The 16,699-nt window shown below is 43.9% G+C and overlaps 1 protein-coding gene across 17 annotated transcripts in view; it reads left to right on the plus strand.

Annotated features, from left to right (window-relative positions):
* SRGAP2 (SLIT-ROBO Rho GTPase activating protein 2) overlaps positions 1 to 16,699 on the plus strand; it is a 260,896-nt gene that overhangs the window by 226,522 nt on the left and 17,675 nt on the right. For all 17 annotated transcript variants that reach the window (XM_011509354.3, NM_001377444.1, NM_015326.5 and 14 more), the window contains 5 exons: positions 100 to 160; positions 6,903 to 6,980; positions 7,902 to 8,036; positions 9,914 to 10,019; positions 16,013 to 16,237. In XM_011509354.3, the coding sequence (XP_011507656.1) occupies positions 100 to 160; positions 6,903 to 6,980; positions 7,902 to 8,036; positions 9,914 to 10,019; positions 16,013 to 16,237 (605 nt within the window). The remainder of the gene's footprint in view (positions 1 to 99; positions 161 to 6,902; positions 6,981 to 7,901; positions 8,037 to 9,913; positions 10,020 to 16,012; positions 16,238 to 16,699) is intronic.

The following is a 16,699-nucleotide window of genomic DNA, read 5'->3' on the forward strand; positions in this document are numbered from 1 at the left end:
ATCCGCTAAGACAGTTCTGCACGGTTTGGCCCGTTTTCTCTGACCCTGGGCTATCCCTGTTTGAATATTCTAATGTTGTGTTTCCCTTTGGCTTTTCAGGACTCCAGCCAGGCAATTCCTCTGGTGGTGGAAAGCTGTATCCGGTTTATCAGCAGACACGGTAAGCAGGATGACAGCCTTGTCCATATTTGTGCAAAGATTGGGAAGAACTTCCAGGAATTCTTTGTAGAGTAAGAATAGAGATTGACTTCCCATCCTGGCATTCTCAGAAAAGGAATAAATTCTTACTTGTCCACATAACTTTTGCTACCTCAAAATAGCCACACCTAGACATTGAAAGAAATGCATCATATATTTTGACACAAAATGCCTCAGCCACTTATCACGCAGCATTTTTTTAGCTTGAGAGTAAGTTTGAAATTGCAGCTGTTATGTAAATACAGCTGCTATTATGTGGTAACAGTAGTTTCACCATTACTCACAGTCTTTGCAAGTGTGGGTATCTCCCACTGTACAGCCTGACCATTTTGTCACTTTCTGTACCAGACTAGTTTGAAAACAACTCCTTTCCCAATGTTGCAGTGATTCCTAATAATCAGTTTTTGTTCTGGTTTGGTCTCACTGGATACAGCATGGCCAAGGGCTGAGTTAGTAGCTGGTCTTAAAGTTGTATCCAACTTTTGAGAATCTGCAGAGGCAGGCTGCTTCTCAGCCTAGGTGAAATCATACTCTCTTCTACTTGGATGAAGCTGAATCTTATAAACACCATTCCTCACCAGCTACTGGTCTCATTGGACAGAATTTAGCGATCGAAATAATTGCCAGAGAATTGATTTCCCAGGGATTAGAGTGTTTATAAAGGACAGAACTAGTGCTATGAAAATTTCTAGGAACTGAGCATCAGAAATTGTTTTTAGATGCTGTTCTTTCTGTGATAGGAAAAGGGGCAGAGTGACCTTTCTGGAGCTAAGGAGGTAGATAAAATATTGCTTGTCTAAATTCAGAGGCAGCTATTCTCTCTCCCTCTCCTTGTCTTTTTCTCTCCCTGTAAACTGGGACATTGCTCAGGTTCATTTTTGGAATAGTAATTATTATAGCATGGTTACAATTGATCTCATTCTAATCAGCTATAATTTTTAAATTTTATCCCTATTCATTTAAAGTAACAGCATTGTATATCAGTATTGAACAGTCAACAAATTTATCAAGTCCCTGATCAATGCTGGGTACCATGCATTGCCATGCAGGAAAACAGAAACAGGAATAATATACTCTTCCTGTCTTTAAGTGGTTTTGTGATGCAGTTGGGAGAAATAAGTAAGCAAGTGATAAGTTAAATAAAAAGGGATAAGCTGTGGTAATTCAGAATAGAGTATAAGAAATTTCACAAGATAGTAATGATTAACAGTCAAACAGTTTGCAAAGAAAAGTCCAAACGGAGTTCAGGGGAGGATGAATTATTTGTGCCTAAGAGACAATAGGAAGAAGAAAGTCTGAGCCACTGTTCATTAGCATACATTTCATTCATTGAACGAATACATATTAGTTGCTTATTATATCCCAACAAAAAGTTTCTGCCTTCATAAACCTTACATTCCACTGAAAGGTGGATAAGCAAATGACCAATTGATCAGCCAGTAAATACAGTATGTCAGGTATTGGTGAATGTCATGAAGAAAAGTAAAGCAGGGTGAGGGGATGGAGAAGGAAGAGGGAACACTGTTTGAAGCTGGTTCAGGGAAAAGGCCTCTCCTAAAGTGACATTAGGGCAGAGTTGTGAGGGAGTAAGCCTTGTGGATATCTGGGGAAGAGTATCTTGGGGAGCGGGAACAAGTGCAGAGATCCTTGCCATATGCAGGAAGCCAGCGTAGCTGGAGCAGAGCAAATGAAAAAGGAAGCGGCAGGAGATGAAGCTGGAAGCCAGACTCTTAGGGCCTCATGTGCTAGGATTGGATTTTATTCTGAGGAAGATGGGAAGCCACTGGAGAATTTTGAACAGGGAGTCATCTTTTTAAAGGATCCCTGATGCTCTATGGAGCTAAGACTGTAAGAAGGAGACAGGAAGCAACTGCAGTAGCCTGAGGAAGACATGATGGCGGCCTAGACCAGGGTGTTAGCTGTGGTATTTGCTGAAAAGTGGGCAGGTTCCAGATATTGTGGCATGAATGTACCTGTTTCTGCCCCTTACAGCCACAGTGCGTGAGTGCTTCACCATTACTGTGGTGAAGCTCTGGGGAAACAGGCACATTTATATGTTACTAATGGGAATGCAAACTGATACAACTCTTTGGAAGGGAATTTGGCAGTATCTAACAAAACTTCATATGCACTTACGATCCAGCAGATCCTAGGAATTCTAGAAATTTGCCATGAAGTTACATCTCCAACAATACAAAAATGCATGCGCACAAGGTTATTTGTGACAGCATTGTTTGTAGTTGCAAAGTATTAGAAACAACCTAAATGCCCATACATAGAGGAGTGGTTGAAGAAACTATGGGACATTCATTCAATGGAGTACTATATAAGAATGAGTAAGATTTCCTTGAACTAATATGGAGAGATTCCCAGGATATGTTGTTAAGTGAAAAAAACAAAATGTGAAAGAGTCTATATCATGTAGAATACTACAGATGCTCCTCGGCCTCTAATGGGGTTACGTACGCATAAATCCATAGTAAGTTGAAAATGTACTCAATATACCTAGCCTAGGGAACATCAGAGCTTAGCCTAGCCTGCCTTAAATGTGCTCAGAACATGTACATTGGCCTACAGTTGTGCAAAATCATCTGGCAACACTATACACTGTAGAGTATGTGTTGTTTACCCTGGTAATCACGTGGCTGACTGGGAGCTGTGGCTCTTTGTTGCCGCCAAGCATTATAAGAGAATATCGTACTATATTTTGCTAGCACAAGAAAAGATCAACATTGGAAGTATTTCTCCTGAATGCATATCATTTTGGTACCATCATAAAGTCAAAAAATCATAAGTCAAACTATTGCAAGTCAGGGACTATATATATAGATATTCTTTTGCATTTCATTACCTTTTATATAAGAGAGAAGAAGATATAAGAATATCCACGTATCTTCTCATTTCTGCAAAAAGAAATGCAGGAAGGATGAATCTAGGAACTAATATTTAATTGGTTACTTATAGGGGATGGATGGAAAAAACGTGAAAAGAATGGGGCAATGGGAAATGGTAAGGAGTGGCATTTCTCTTACCTTAGTGTAGTTTTGACTTTTAGAACAACATTAGTGTTTCCTGTACTCAAAAGATAAATAAACAAGCCAAGCATGGTGGCTCATGCCTGTAATCCAAGCACTTTGGGAGGCTGAGGTGGGCAGATCACTTGAGGCCAGGAGTTCAAGACCAGCCTGGCCAACATGGCGAAACCCTGTCTCTACTAAAAATACAAAAAAATTAGCTGGGTGTGGTGTTGGGCACCTGTAATCCCATCTACTCGGGAGGCTGAGGCACAAGAATCACTCAAACCCAGGAGATGGAGGTTGTGATGAGACCACACCACTGCACTCCAGCCTGAGTGATAGGGTGAGACCCTGTCTCAAAAAAAAAAAAAAGATAAATAAATAAATAAAGGCAGAGTATGGGTACAACCCAAAATGGAATGCAGACAGTAACATATAAACCTAACTGTATTACAAGTGAATAACGTAACCACAATGAAGAGAATGAGGAAGAAAATAACCTAAGTAATTTGTCTTGACTGTAATATAAATCTGAAGATAAAAAGATCTCTAAACAAATATTTTACAGTAATTAGTAATTTTTTATCACACAAATATGGATTAGCAATTCTAAAAGTATTTTATATATATTCTAGGATCAAGCAAATATATTGTGGATTTTTTAACAATTGAGCACATAGTAGCTGCTCAAAAAACATCTGTTCCACTAAATTGATTTTTCCCAAATAGGGGCTTAAGGTGCTCATGAACTCCCTAAAAAACCATAGTAAAAATTTTTGTGTATAGGCATCTAATGAGGATAGAGCTCATAACCTGTGTCAGTCTTGAAAGAGTCTGTGGCCCACTGAATGCTGGGGATTTTCACATCCTAACTATCCTCAAATCCCATGGGAGGTAGACATTATAGTCCCCATTATATAGATGAGAAAGCTCAGTGGTGGGTGAGGGTGATTCAGGAAGGCTTAAAGGAAGAGAAGCGATTTGAGGAACAATTGAAACTGAATCATGATGGAAAAAAACAAAAAAACAAACCGCCATTTTCATGAGGAAGGGAGCAAGATAACGTGAACATGAGATGGCTGCTGTAGAAATCATTTGAAGAATTCTCCAGGAGAACAACTTTTGGCAATGGTTGGATCCCGTGCACAATGGAAGGTTTTGTGCCATTTCCAAATAGCTTAGTCCAAGTCTGATGAGTTTTATACTTTCATGTTCATGTGAACTGAGAAAAAATTTAAAAGATCATGGATGTGTCACTTTGGTTATGTAAGGATTCGCCTGCATTATAATAAAAAGCCAACTGGTTTTTCCCTTTACTTTCTGGAAACCAGCCACTTATTAATGTTTCTGCTTCTAGAATCTAGAGATTCTGTCTGTTGAGCAAGAACACATAGTAGTCCCTCCAAAACATAAGTTCTCAGGAGGAAACAGAGACCAGACCTAAAGAGAGCTCCATGTGTTCCAGGCCTGCTGCCTGATTTCCAATGAGCTCTCCTCTCATTTCTTCTTGTCCTGGACCCCCAGGCCAAGGCTGCTTTTCCTTGGTGTCCTAACCTACCAAAAAGTATCAAGATGATGACGCTCTTTCAAGAATTTGTGCAATGGCTTCACCAACTAGAACATAGTGAGTAGCCTGGTTTCCGAGATGACATTTGCTTATACCATGTTGTGACATGTGGCTGTTTCTCTCAAAGCACTTGTTGTTTACATACTATCTTTAAACAACATTATCTGGCTTTTACATCCCATTTGTAACTAGTATTATAGTCCTATTACACTGGTACTAATGAGGTTTTAACATTGCCTGCCACTCTGTGAGGAATATTCTGGAGATTCCTTTATAGGAGCAGACAACTTAAGGCCTATTACAAGCCAGGTAACTATATTTCCTCTGCTTACTTTTTAATGTTGTTTCAGTTGGATTCAAAATATCAGTCCCGGCCTATGTGGTTTACCTCCAAAGGTCTAACTGATAGAATTCATCTGCCTCCTCACTGAGAAACCCTCAAACAGTGGGCAAAATGTAGCATTAGTCCATTTTGTTTTCCTAAAATAAAATTTGAGATTTCTCCAGCATGTCAAGGTTTTTGAAGGATTGTGCCGTAACAGAGGGATTTTGACAGAATGCTTAAGATTGAGACCCAGGGATCCTGAGAAAAGCTGAGCGGTCCTGATGCAATCAGAGATGCTAGTCCAGTCCAACCCCTGGGGCTGGCACTGATGACACACTTGCTGGATTTCTCACCCGTTTTGCAGTTGTGTGTGTGGTGCTGTCTGTAAAGCCATGTCCATGCTCAGACTGACCAATGTGGTTCCAGCCTCTGCACTTGCACTCCAGTAGACTCCAGAAGCCTGGTGTTGAGGACTGAGTATGATTGCAGCCACAAGGCCTGAGTTTGAGTCATGGCCCTGGTTCTTACTTCCTGTATAACTTAAGGCTGACTATCACTCATCAATCCCCTCATCCAGAGAATGAGATTGTTGCCAACCTTTACCTTGTTGTGACATTATTATTTCTGAGGACCAAGTAATTTATTTCTGTGAAAGCATTGATTAGCAGCAGTCACTATGCCAGCATTTTTTTCATGATTTTTTTCTCTAACAAAACCAAGAAATTCTTGTGCACATTATCGTAGTATAACATTCATGCATGTTTGTCTTTAGAGTAAAGCTGTAGTCAGGAACCAGTGCCTAGCACAATGTCTGGCAATACTATCTGTTGACTGATCACTTCATAGCAAGCTTGTTCAACCTGTGGCCCATGGGCTGCAGCACAAATTCGTAAACTTTCTTACAATATTACGAGATTTTGGGGGGATTTTTTTTTTATCATCAGCTATCATTAGAATATTTTATGTGTGGCCCAAGACAATTTTTCTTCCAATGTGGTCCAGGGAAGCCAAAAGATTGGATGCTCCTGACTTATAGTTTCATGTTCTCTCTTTTTCATGAGTATTGAAAGCATTGCCCCCTTGAACAATCAAACCGTGTTAAAACAGCTAAAGCAATATTATAATCTCAGACCTTATGAAACTCCTCTGATGAGAACTAATGCCTTGACCTATTTCCCATTCTTTTTTTTTTTTTTCTTTGAGATAGAGTCCACTCTGTCACCCAGGCTGGAGGGCAGTGGTGTGATCATAGCTCATTGTAGCTTCTAACTTCCAGGTTCAAGTGAACCTCCTACCTGAGCCTCCTGAGTAGCTGGGACTACAGGCATGCTATAAGCACTGTGCCTGGCTACTTTAAAACATTTTTTAGAGACAGGGTCTCATGTTGCCCAGGCTGGTCACAAACTCCTGGCCTCAAGCAGTCCTGCTGCCTCAGCTTCCTGAGTACATTTTTCTATTCTTGACCCTAGATGATTTAAAAAAGTACCAATGGGTCACTTCTTTGCTTTACAGATGGGAAAAGAGAGGCAAAACAAGGGAAGGAATCTGCCTCATAGTCGCCCTTGGAGTCAAAGGAGTCTCTAACTTGGTGCTTTCTAGTGAAAATGAATGCCTCGAAATTATTCCAGTGACTTTTCCAACATCCTTGCACATGTTTTTCTCCTTTGGCCTAAAGAAGAGAGACAGCGTGCTTAAATACATGCTGGCTGGGGGAGACAGATATTCAACTAAGCTTGGCACTATGCTTGTGAATTTGCTTTTTCTTCTTCTTGATCACTTTTCTGTGTATTTCCAGGACTACAGCATGAAGGAATTTTCCGGGTGTCAGGATCCCAGGTGGAAGTGAATGACATCAAAAATGCCTTTGAGAGAGGTAAGGAAACAGTCTTGAAGATAAAACCAAATATTTGCCAGCCCCCTGGGGTATTGGCTCCACCCTTTCTTCTCTAAGAGGTCCCCAGAGGTCAGGAAGCCAACTTCCCTGTCTCTTCAGGGGGTACCTGCTGTCTTGTACACATTCCCCTGTAGATATGCAGAGAAATACCAGGGCACATCCCAGTTTCCTTCTTCTTTCGTAGCCCTACCCATCCTGCCTCTTTCACGCCGATGATCTGCCAAAACCCAAGAAGTTAACTATGATATCTGGGCGGTTTATGGCTTCATCCGGAACCCTTGGTAGCAGTTAATATCAAGGCTAATGCGCTTGTTCATTGTAGCCCATTTATTATTTTGTGGGCTATTAAGGTAATGGGCAAGCTTTGGCAATTTCCGTCACTGTAATGGATATATATAGTGTCAATTTGAGGTTGGCCCTATCATTAAATCTAATTACATCTGATATGAAATTTTCCATAGGGAGCTCTGGCATGATTGTTCTGTAAGTAGGTGTTCTTGGTTGCAGGCCAGGAGACGTGAGAGCCAGTCTCAGGAGCTGGCCTCCTTGGCCTCATTTTTCTCCCCGCAGGGGCTCAGTCCCAGCCTGGTTTCATGATTCTTGTGAGATACAGTTGCTGTGTCCCATCCTCAGCCCATAGGGAATGTCCCTGAGCCAGGCTGGCACAAGAGAGTTTATATTGGTGGACTCATCTGCCGTGCTTTGGTCCTGGAGCCCCTGAAATGGAGCAGTCTTTGCTTTATCTGTTCCCTGGTCTGTCCCACTCATGGCCACCATGCCGGGCAGAAAGCTGATGGATTGGGACCAGGACATGCATGGTTCACCCCTTCCCCACGTTCGTCCTGTGTGTTTTTGCCTCTCTCACTCTCTTTCCTTTTCGTGGGGGTTGCTTATCCTCAGGAGAGGACCCCCTGGCTGGGGACCAGAACGACCATGACATGGATTCCATAGCTGGTGTCCTGAAGCTTTACTTCCGGGGGCTGGAACACCCTCTCTTCCCCAAGGACATCTTTCATGACCTGATGGCCTGCGTCAGTAAGTACCATTCTGGCTTCAGATTGGCTTCTGGGCTACAGCACCGGTAGCAAGAGAGAAAAAGTTTCCACAGGGTCTGTGTGTTCTCATAAGCTTTTCAATGAAGTTTTTCTTTTCCCCAGTGAAATTTCTCCTCAGCCTCACTCCTTCATCCCCTGGTGGGAGGGGAGGAGGAAAGACTTTTCAGTAAGAATCTAGGACCCCCCAAGTCAGTACTCCTGGCCTTTTTTTTTTTCTTCTGATTCATCTCTGGGCTTTATCTTTTTTTAGTAAAATACCTTTATTTTCAATTATGTATTTGAAGCTTATACATTAGTGCTTGTGCTTTTCATGGTACAAGGGGGAAAAGCATAAGCGTTGCAAATATTTCATGCTTGTTGCATTAAACAAGACATGGCTTACCTGCTAAATGTATTAATATGTGTTCTAGGAACAAAAGCCCTCTGCACATTTAAAAGTAGTAATAGGATATTTTCCCAAAGAGAAAGGTATATTCTCTGCTTTATCCTCTTAGGAGTTCTCTGCCTCTTACTCTAAAATTTGGGTCTTGAAAAGCTATTCCTAGCCATTTGGTTTAGCTTGTGGTACTGGAACACCCTCTCATTTGTTTGCCAGGGAAAACAATCAATGGAAACTTGGATTAATACAGGTCAGCCTGGAAGCAGGCCCTGTCTGACTGATGGCTCCAGAGGCTGGAGGGAGTGGTACCTTTGAATGGAGAAAAGATCCTTCTTCCTAGGTTGACCAGATCTTCATACCTGCTGAGTTTCCAGTTTCACTCAGTATCTGCCCTGAGTACTTGTCCCTCTCTGTTATCCTGAGAAATGCCCAGGGCATTTGGGAAGCTGGCTCTCTGGTTTGTTTTGTTGACTTCTGTTTGTGGGAGTCTAGTGGAAGTGAGTTATGTGGGTGATTAAGAATGTGATTCCCTTGGGTCATGTCTTTGTCTTTTTCCGGGACTGGGCCTAGGTGAAGTATCTTAAGCTGAACTGGGGTTGCCAAGACAGTTCAATATCCCTTGGCTGCCCAGTTCTTCCCTAGAGATACACTCTTCTTCCTAATCCAGTACTTCCCATCTCTTTTTCATATAAAGGCACTCATAGAAAATGGCAGTGTTTACATGGCACACTGTGGAAGTGAGAGGCTGCCTATGATGGAGGACCTGTAATTGACCTATAATTAACCTCTCCACAGCACAAGAAAACCTTTCAGGTCTCCTTCCCAATATCACTACATACCCAGGGGCCTGCTACCTCTTGCCTCAGGCCACTTTTTACTCATTCATAGTGCAGATAAGGGAGGGAGAAGATAAGCCACACTTGTCCAGAGGATGAGATGGCATGTGTGGAGTGAGCAGGACAGGCCTCTTGCACAGCCTCTCTTCCCACCGAGAAGTAGGCCCTTTGAGGCTTTGTGTTGAGCAGTTACAGCAGGTTGGCGGCAGCTCCCTGTCAGTGGTTGTTTGAATAAGAGGGTGGTAGATCCTGTGGGGAACATTTCTAACCCCATTTCCTGTGCCCAAATCCAAATCCAAACTTGTTATTAATAACAATGAGATTACAACAACCCTAGTTCAGTTTAATATTAATAATGTGTAATAACGAGTTTGGATTTGGATTTGGCACAGTTCCCTGTGCCCAAGAAGTATACACCTTACATCCGGCAATGGTAAATGTCTGGAGCCCAGCAGGTGCCCTCTTCTAACAGCCCTACTCCAAGGAGCAACAGGGATGACACTCCTGTCACTGCACCAGTGCTGTGCGTGGGCTTGATCTGATGCTGTCCGTGTTGCCCCTGCTGGTAGTAGGGACTTCTGATCATTACTGCCTGGGATCCCAGTCATAGTGGAGGATAACACATGGCTTTCTTCTTTTCAGCAATGGACAACCTGCAGGAGAGAGCTCTGCACATCCGGAAAGTCCTCCTAGTCCTGCCCAAAACCACTCTGATTATCATGAGATACCTCTTTGCCTTCCTCAATCAGTGAGTAGCCTTCCCAGTGAACAGCTGGATCAGGCTTTGGCTTGGGCACTGGAAGTTCCTCTATGGACCTATGCCTATTCATCCATCCCAACAAAATATTTATTGAGCACCTACTGTGTGCTAGCCACAGTGCTAGACTTATTTAATACATCGTTAAATAAAAGATGAAAGCCTTGATATAATTTAGCTCCTGTTCCAGGGAAGGAAACAGCCAATAACAGATATATCAGGTAGAATAAGTGCTTAGAAGAAAAATAAAAAAGAGTAAAGAGAGGGGAAAGAGTAAAGGGGTCTGAATGAAAGGAGGGAGAAGCACTGTAGTTGAGGTGGACAGCAGAGGCCTGCCTGAGAAGACAGTGTACAAGCAGCAGCCCAGAGGAGGAGAAAAGAGTGCCACGGGGCCATTTAAAACCCCAGAGTCATGGTAATAGCGAGTTTGGATTTGGATTTGGGAAGCAATTAGAAGATTTTCTTTTTTTTTTTTTGAGACGGAGTCTTGCTCTGTCTCCAGGCTGGAGTACAGTGGAGCGATCTTGGCTTACTGCAACCTCTGCCTCCTAGGTTCAAGCGATTCTCCTGCCTCAGCCTCCTGAGTAGCTGGGACCCAGGCGCATGCCACCACGCCCAGCTAATTTTTGTATTTTTAGTAGACATGGGGTTTCACCACGTTGGCCAAGATGGTCACCATCTCTTGACCTCGTGATGTGCCCACCTCAGCCTCCCAAAGTGCTGGGATTACAGGCGTGAGCCACCGCACCCGGCATGTTACTATCTGATTTGTGTATTTTATTTTTTTAAAAACTGCCAACTGCTTTGTGGAGAAGTTACTGGAAAGGGTCATGAAGAGAAACAGGGAGACCCTATCCCAAGGTTACCATCTGGTCTGGCCAGAGGTGTTAGTGGCTGAGTCTGGAGAGCGGTGAGGAGGGGTCAGGTTTGTGATACATTTTGAACATAGCATTAACAGGATTTGCCCATGGATTATACATAGAATATGGAGAGAGAAATCCTAAATTGTTGGCATGAGCGACAGGGACATAGGGTGGTCATTTATGGAGTTGGAGAAGACAAGGTGTGGAGAAAGGAATCAAGACAATGTGTTGATGTGGTCATGGTCATTTGAGGCACTTGTGAGATGTCCAAGTGGAGATTTTGAACAATTGGACCTAGGAATCCAACCCTTAAGGGAGAAACCAGGAGTGGAGCTGCCAGTGCAGGAGTTGCCCATGTACTGGTGGTATTTAGCTAATCACCCAGGGAACGGATGTGTCTACAACAAAGGTCTGAGGAGCAGAGGGGGCCGCGGGTGTGGATGGGGCATTTCTTCTCGTCCAAGCAGCATGTCCTTGTGTGGAGCAAGCTTTGGAGTCCCCACATGACAGGAAAGGCACCAAGCAAGGACATGTGATTCTTCCCCTCTGAGGCACCTCTGTCTTTTCACTTTGGTTTTGCTGCAGTTTCGCCCTCAACAGCCTAGACCAAAGGTTATAAATGGGCACCCTGAGAGCCAGATAAAGCCGAAGATGTGTTCTCTTCAGGTGTCTATTGTGTCTTGAGAACAATGAAATCATACTTACATTTGGGGAAATTTCACTTTTTAAAAACCTAGATTTCTAGCTTCTTTTGAAAAATTATTAGATCTGGTGATACTGACTCTGCAGTCCCTGGTGGCAGCAATTCCCTGTGGAGTAAGGGCTGTACTCCCTAGATGGGGCAGGCACTCCCCAATTCACCACAGTCCCCAGCCCTCCCCGTTGTCCCCCAATCCTGAGGCTGAATTCAGTTGCTATTTATCATCACTCTTGTTTTGTGGTTTTCATAGAGAACAAAAATGTTTCTCTGGATCCATGAATCTATCAGAGTAGGGGAAACAAAAGGTAAACCAAGGGACCCAGGTGTTTTTGCACATATTTCTTTGTGAAAATGAGGAGCCTTCTACAAGGTTAGTCTCTGCTTAAAAGGAATACAACTTTAGAGACCATTTCATAAGTGTCAGCTTGCTTCCAAGTTTGTGGTCAACCTGGCCTTATAGGTATCTGGGTTAGTGGCCCCAGCTTGAGACCTTTTCTGGGGCACCCACACTATCATGTAGCCCCCTTGCTGGCCCTTCAGAGCTACAGAGGGTCCTTGTTCCCCATCTTGTCTCTTCCATGCGGTTGTGTCTGCTCTATTCATTGGCCAGGCCCTGACTCAGCACCACCACTGCCTTTGGGTTGAACACCCCAGTGAGTCACACAGCGTGTTCATGTGCAGCCTGGAAACTCTGCTAATTACTCTCGAGTTAGTCCCTTCAGGGCTACCAGTCATTGTCTCCCCTCAGAGACCAATACCTGCCCTCAACATGAGCCTCGTCTGTGCCCCCAGAGCTGGGAGCATGACAGTGGTGAGCAAATGGGGATGAGGGGAAAACAGGGAGGGCTGGGGGACTATATGTGACAGTACAGTGGGGAGAAACAATAGAATAAGCATCCATGCAGGGTTGCTGCTTGCAGAGATGGCAGCCACTATTGAAGACAGCATAGGAATTGCACCAATTCAAATTATTCATTTTGTTTTGCTTTTATTGGGTTTTTTTCTGATTGAAACGAGATTGATTTGCTCATCAAAGTGTTAACATTAAAAAAATGCAGCATTAATAAAGTGTTTTCTAAAATAATAAATAGAATGCAAGACACAAATGATAAAGCAGACCACCTCCACAGGAAGACAGCAGCTGACAGGTGTGCACTTCCGGACAGGGGTAGCAATAGTTGGCAGGTAGCTCCCGATGCAGACTCTGCCTGGGCCCAGACCATCAGGACCCTTTTTCTTCATTGCTGTGAGTCCTGGATGTATGTGTACTTTATTTCTGGCTACTGTTTGTTCTTGGATTGGACACATTGTCAATCTCAAGGAACCAAAAAAGCTAATATCTCAGTTTCTGTGGGTCTGGAATCCAAGTACAGCTTAGCAGGGGCCCTCTGGAGAGGTAATTGCATATCATTAAAAAGTTAAAAATCCAGAAAAGTGCATGCTAAAAAGTAAGTTTCCCAACACCAATCCTGGCGCCCCAAAAAGCCTCTGTTCCTAACCACAATGCTGAACCTTTTTATGAAGCACAAAAGATGAGTTCAAATCAGTTAGGAGAATTCACTAATAATATGAACTGAAACTGTAGAAATACAGTAGAACTCTTTGAGGACATGGCATGAGTGACTACAAGTCGACACCAAAAATTTTAAAGCAGAGAGTTGTTACTAATGTTATCCATTTTAGGTATTTCTTTGTTTTTATTTTGTTGTTGTTTGTTTGTTTTTGTTTGTTTGTTTTTGAGATGGAGTTTTGCTCTTGTCCCCCAAGCTGGAGTGCAATGGCACAATCTCTGCTTACGGCAACCTCTGCCTCCCAGGTTCAAGCGATTCTCCTGCCTCAGTCTCCCGAGTAGCTGGGATTACAGGTGCATACCTCCACGCCAGACTAATTTTTTTGTATTTGTAGTAGAGACAGGGTTTCACCATGTTGGCCAAGCTGGTCTCAAACTCCTGACCTCAGGTGATCCACCCACCTCGACCTCACAAAGTGCTGGGATTACAGGCATGAGCCTGTAATTACACCGCGCCTGGCCTAGATATTTCTTTAAAAATAAAAATCCAGTTTTTTATACTCTTACACTAGACACAGCCTTCAGGGACTTCAAAGATTATTAACACCATGACATTTTACACAAAACTGTGTGCATTTATTTATATGCGCACATATGTGAATTTTTCTGGGGAGAGAATCCCTAGTTTTTGTCAAGTTATTGAAGGAACTTGTGTCCCCTAAATAGTTAAGAACCACTGCTTTAGGACAGGCGCAGTAGCTCACACCTGTAATCCCAGCACGTTGGGTGGCCAAGGCGGGTGGATCACCTGAGGTCAGGAGTTTGAGACCAGCCTGGCCAACATGGCGAAACCCTCTCTCTACTAAAAATATAAAAATTAGCCAGGCGTGGTGGTGCACGCCTGTGGTCCCAGCTACTTGGGAGGCTGAGGCAGGAGAATCACTTGAACCCAGGAGGCAGAGGCCTCAGTGAGCCAAGATTGTACCACTGTAACCCAGACAGGCGACTCCGTCTCAAAAAAAAAAAAAAGAACCACTGCTTCAGCCCCTAAACTTAGATGTTCCCACTGTATATTGGAAAAGAAAAATGGATTTTCATCTGTATTTTGATGGGAGCAAGAAAATAGACCTAGAATCATGAGACCACAGTCCACAAAGATGTGTCCTCTTCAAGCTCCTGGTCATTGTAGCCACCTATGAATTGAACAGTTCTTACCTTAGCAGGCTTCCCAACATTCTTCATCTTCCACAGAGCTTTGACTCAGGACTCTCAGGACTAGAGTTTGTTTCCCTTTGACCATCAGGCTTCCCAGACACTACTGGTTTTCTTTTATGTTACCAAAACATTGTCAGATCACTCTAAAGTATCAAGGCCTTCCTCCTCTTTGTCCCTCCATGACACCAGGAACTGGCCAGCCTTGGATTAGCTACAGCTTAAGCCTGCAGCACCTCATGCCTCAGTTGTTTGCTCTGAGGTTACCAAGGTAATTATCCTCCTGTCCCTCCCCAGTTTTAATTTGACTAGGAAGTAGACTTAGAAACTTCCCCTAGTCTTTTCTAAATCTCTGCTCTCTTTGAACTCAGGATCCGGGGAAGGATTATACACTTTTAAGAACTCCTGTGAAGCAATCCAATGAGATTTGTAACCTCCCCCGTTGCTGGCCTCTCCTGCATTTGATTCCAGGCTCTAGAGAACAGTGATTCTCAACTCTTTTCTCCCATCACGTCCATAATACCACTCTTCAAGTCCTGCAGTGATTCGCAAACAGACAGGGGGTACATCTCCAGGAGGGGAGAGAACCACTGAGTCAGAGGGTAATGGGCTTTGTAATGTGAGGCTGGATGAGGGGTACACTACAGAAACAAACTCTGCAATCAGTTCTGAAGAACAGCTACTCAGATGGAGACAGCTGAGTCTCAGGCCTCGTTTCCCAACAGAGGACCTTTGGTTCCTTCTCAGAATCAAATCCTGCCCATGCCTATAAGGGAGACTCCTCAGCAGAGCTCACAGCTCTGCAGGCTGTGTTGGGGAGGTATCCAGAGCTGGCCCAGCCCTCAATGCCTGGACGGGCAAGGCCCAATGGGACTCATCAGGTGCAGTGGCTCATTGAAGGCCTTGGGTCCTTGGCCAAGGTTGGAGGTGTGGCTGGAACAGCTGCTGGCTGAGAAGGGGAGAGTTCCCAGAATAAATAAATACCCGAGAATGAAGTCAGCCTGCATCCAGAGGAAGCCCGAGCAGAAGCCAAATGGCATGCTGACCTTTTCCTGAAAAAATCCTGAATGTAATAATCTAGAAGGAGATTATGAACACGAAAAACAATTGCATTTGCTGTTCTAGGAAGAAATTCACTGGCTTGATGGAATACGAAAGCTAATCAGTTGGCTATTTGTTAATAAGTCTAGAGGCTAGAAAGGAATATCCCTAATAATTTGATTATTTTGTTATGCAAGAAGGTACACAATGCACAGTGCCTGTGCCTCTGACCATATCTTTACCAGGGCAGCCTGAGGGTCCCCGTCTGCCCTGGCAGCTTAGTATGTTGGTGTGTAGCAGCCATATTCAGCTCTGCAGAGTGACATGTTCTCAAGGTCATGTGGCCTTTGATAGATAAGATCCGGGGATAGGGATGAGGATGGGGTGGTAAGTAGAATTTGAAATGGGAGCTGGAAAGAGAGAAGGGATCAGAGCTGCAAGCAAGTACCTCTAGTTTGCATTTCCTGAGCTCCTGAATGACCATTCTGGTTGTCAGTTTTCTCCCCAGCTTACTTTCTGGAAAGTCTCTGACACCCAGAAAGGCAGGTGGCAATTTGTGGACCTTCTGCTTTTGCTCTTGGCAGCGCCTCCTGTGATTGTGTTTTCTGGGCATTCATGCGAGAGCTTTCCAGCTTGCCCCCTTTCCCTTCTCCTCCAGTTTATCACAGTTCAGTGAAGAGAACATGATGGACCCCTACAACCTCGCCATCTGCTTCGGGCCCTCGCTAATGTCAGTGCCAGAGGGCCACGACCAGGTGTCCTGCCAAGCCCACGTGAATGAGCTGATCAAAACCATCATCATCCAGCATGAGAACATCTTCCCAAGCCCCAGGGAGCTGGAGGGCCCTGTCTACAGCAGAGGAGGAAGCATGGAGGATTACTGGTAGGGGGGCTTGGGACGGGAGGAGGGGAGGGATTCACTAGCACACACTGGCATGGGAGCCAGATGGCCACACGAAAACCAAAGGGAAACACCCAGATCCTCCCAACTCCTCACTCCCAGGCTGCTAGGGTCTGGGGATGCTATAGGCAGCCCCCACCTCGGCCCCACCCACAGACTAAATGCCACTTCTTGCCACCTCCCTTTTTGATGAGTTCTGAGTGGCAAGGGACTATTCTGAAAGATATTGACAACATTAATTGTGATACTAATCTCTAAGAAAGGACTTTTTATAAAGTTGCATCTAGAAGTGATCTTTATTCATCAACAGTGTCTCTTGGGCTTCTACTCTGTGCTCTGTATTCTGAGAAAAACCATCCTGGGTCCCAGGGAATTCCCTTCCTTTTGGGAAGAGTTTAGATAAAAGGCATAATTTCCTGACCGTGAGTTTGTAAGCTGGCACTT

Source organism: Homo sapiens, chromosome 1 (genome assembly GCF_000001405.40).
Source record: "Homo sapiens chromosome 1, GRCh38.p14 Primary Assembly".
Taxonomy (NCBI): domain Eukaryota; kingdom Metazoa; phylum Chordata; class Mammalia; order Primates; family Hominidae; genus Homo; species Homo sapiens.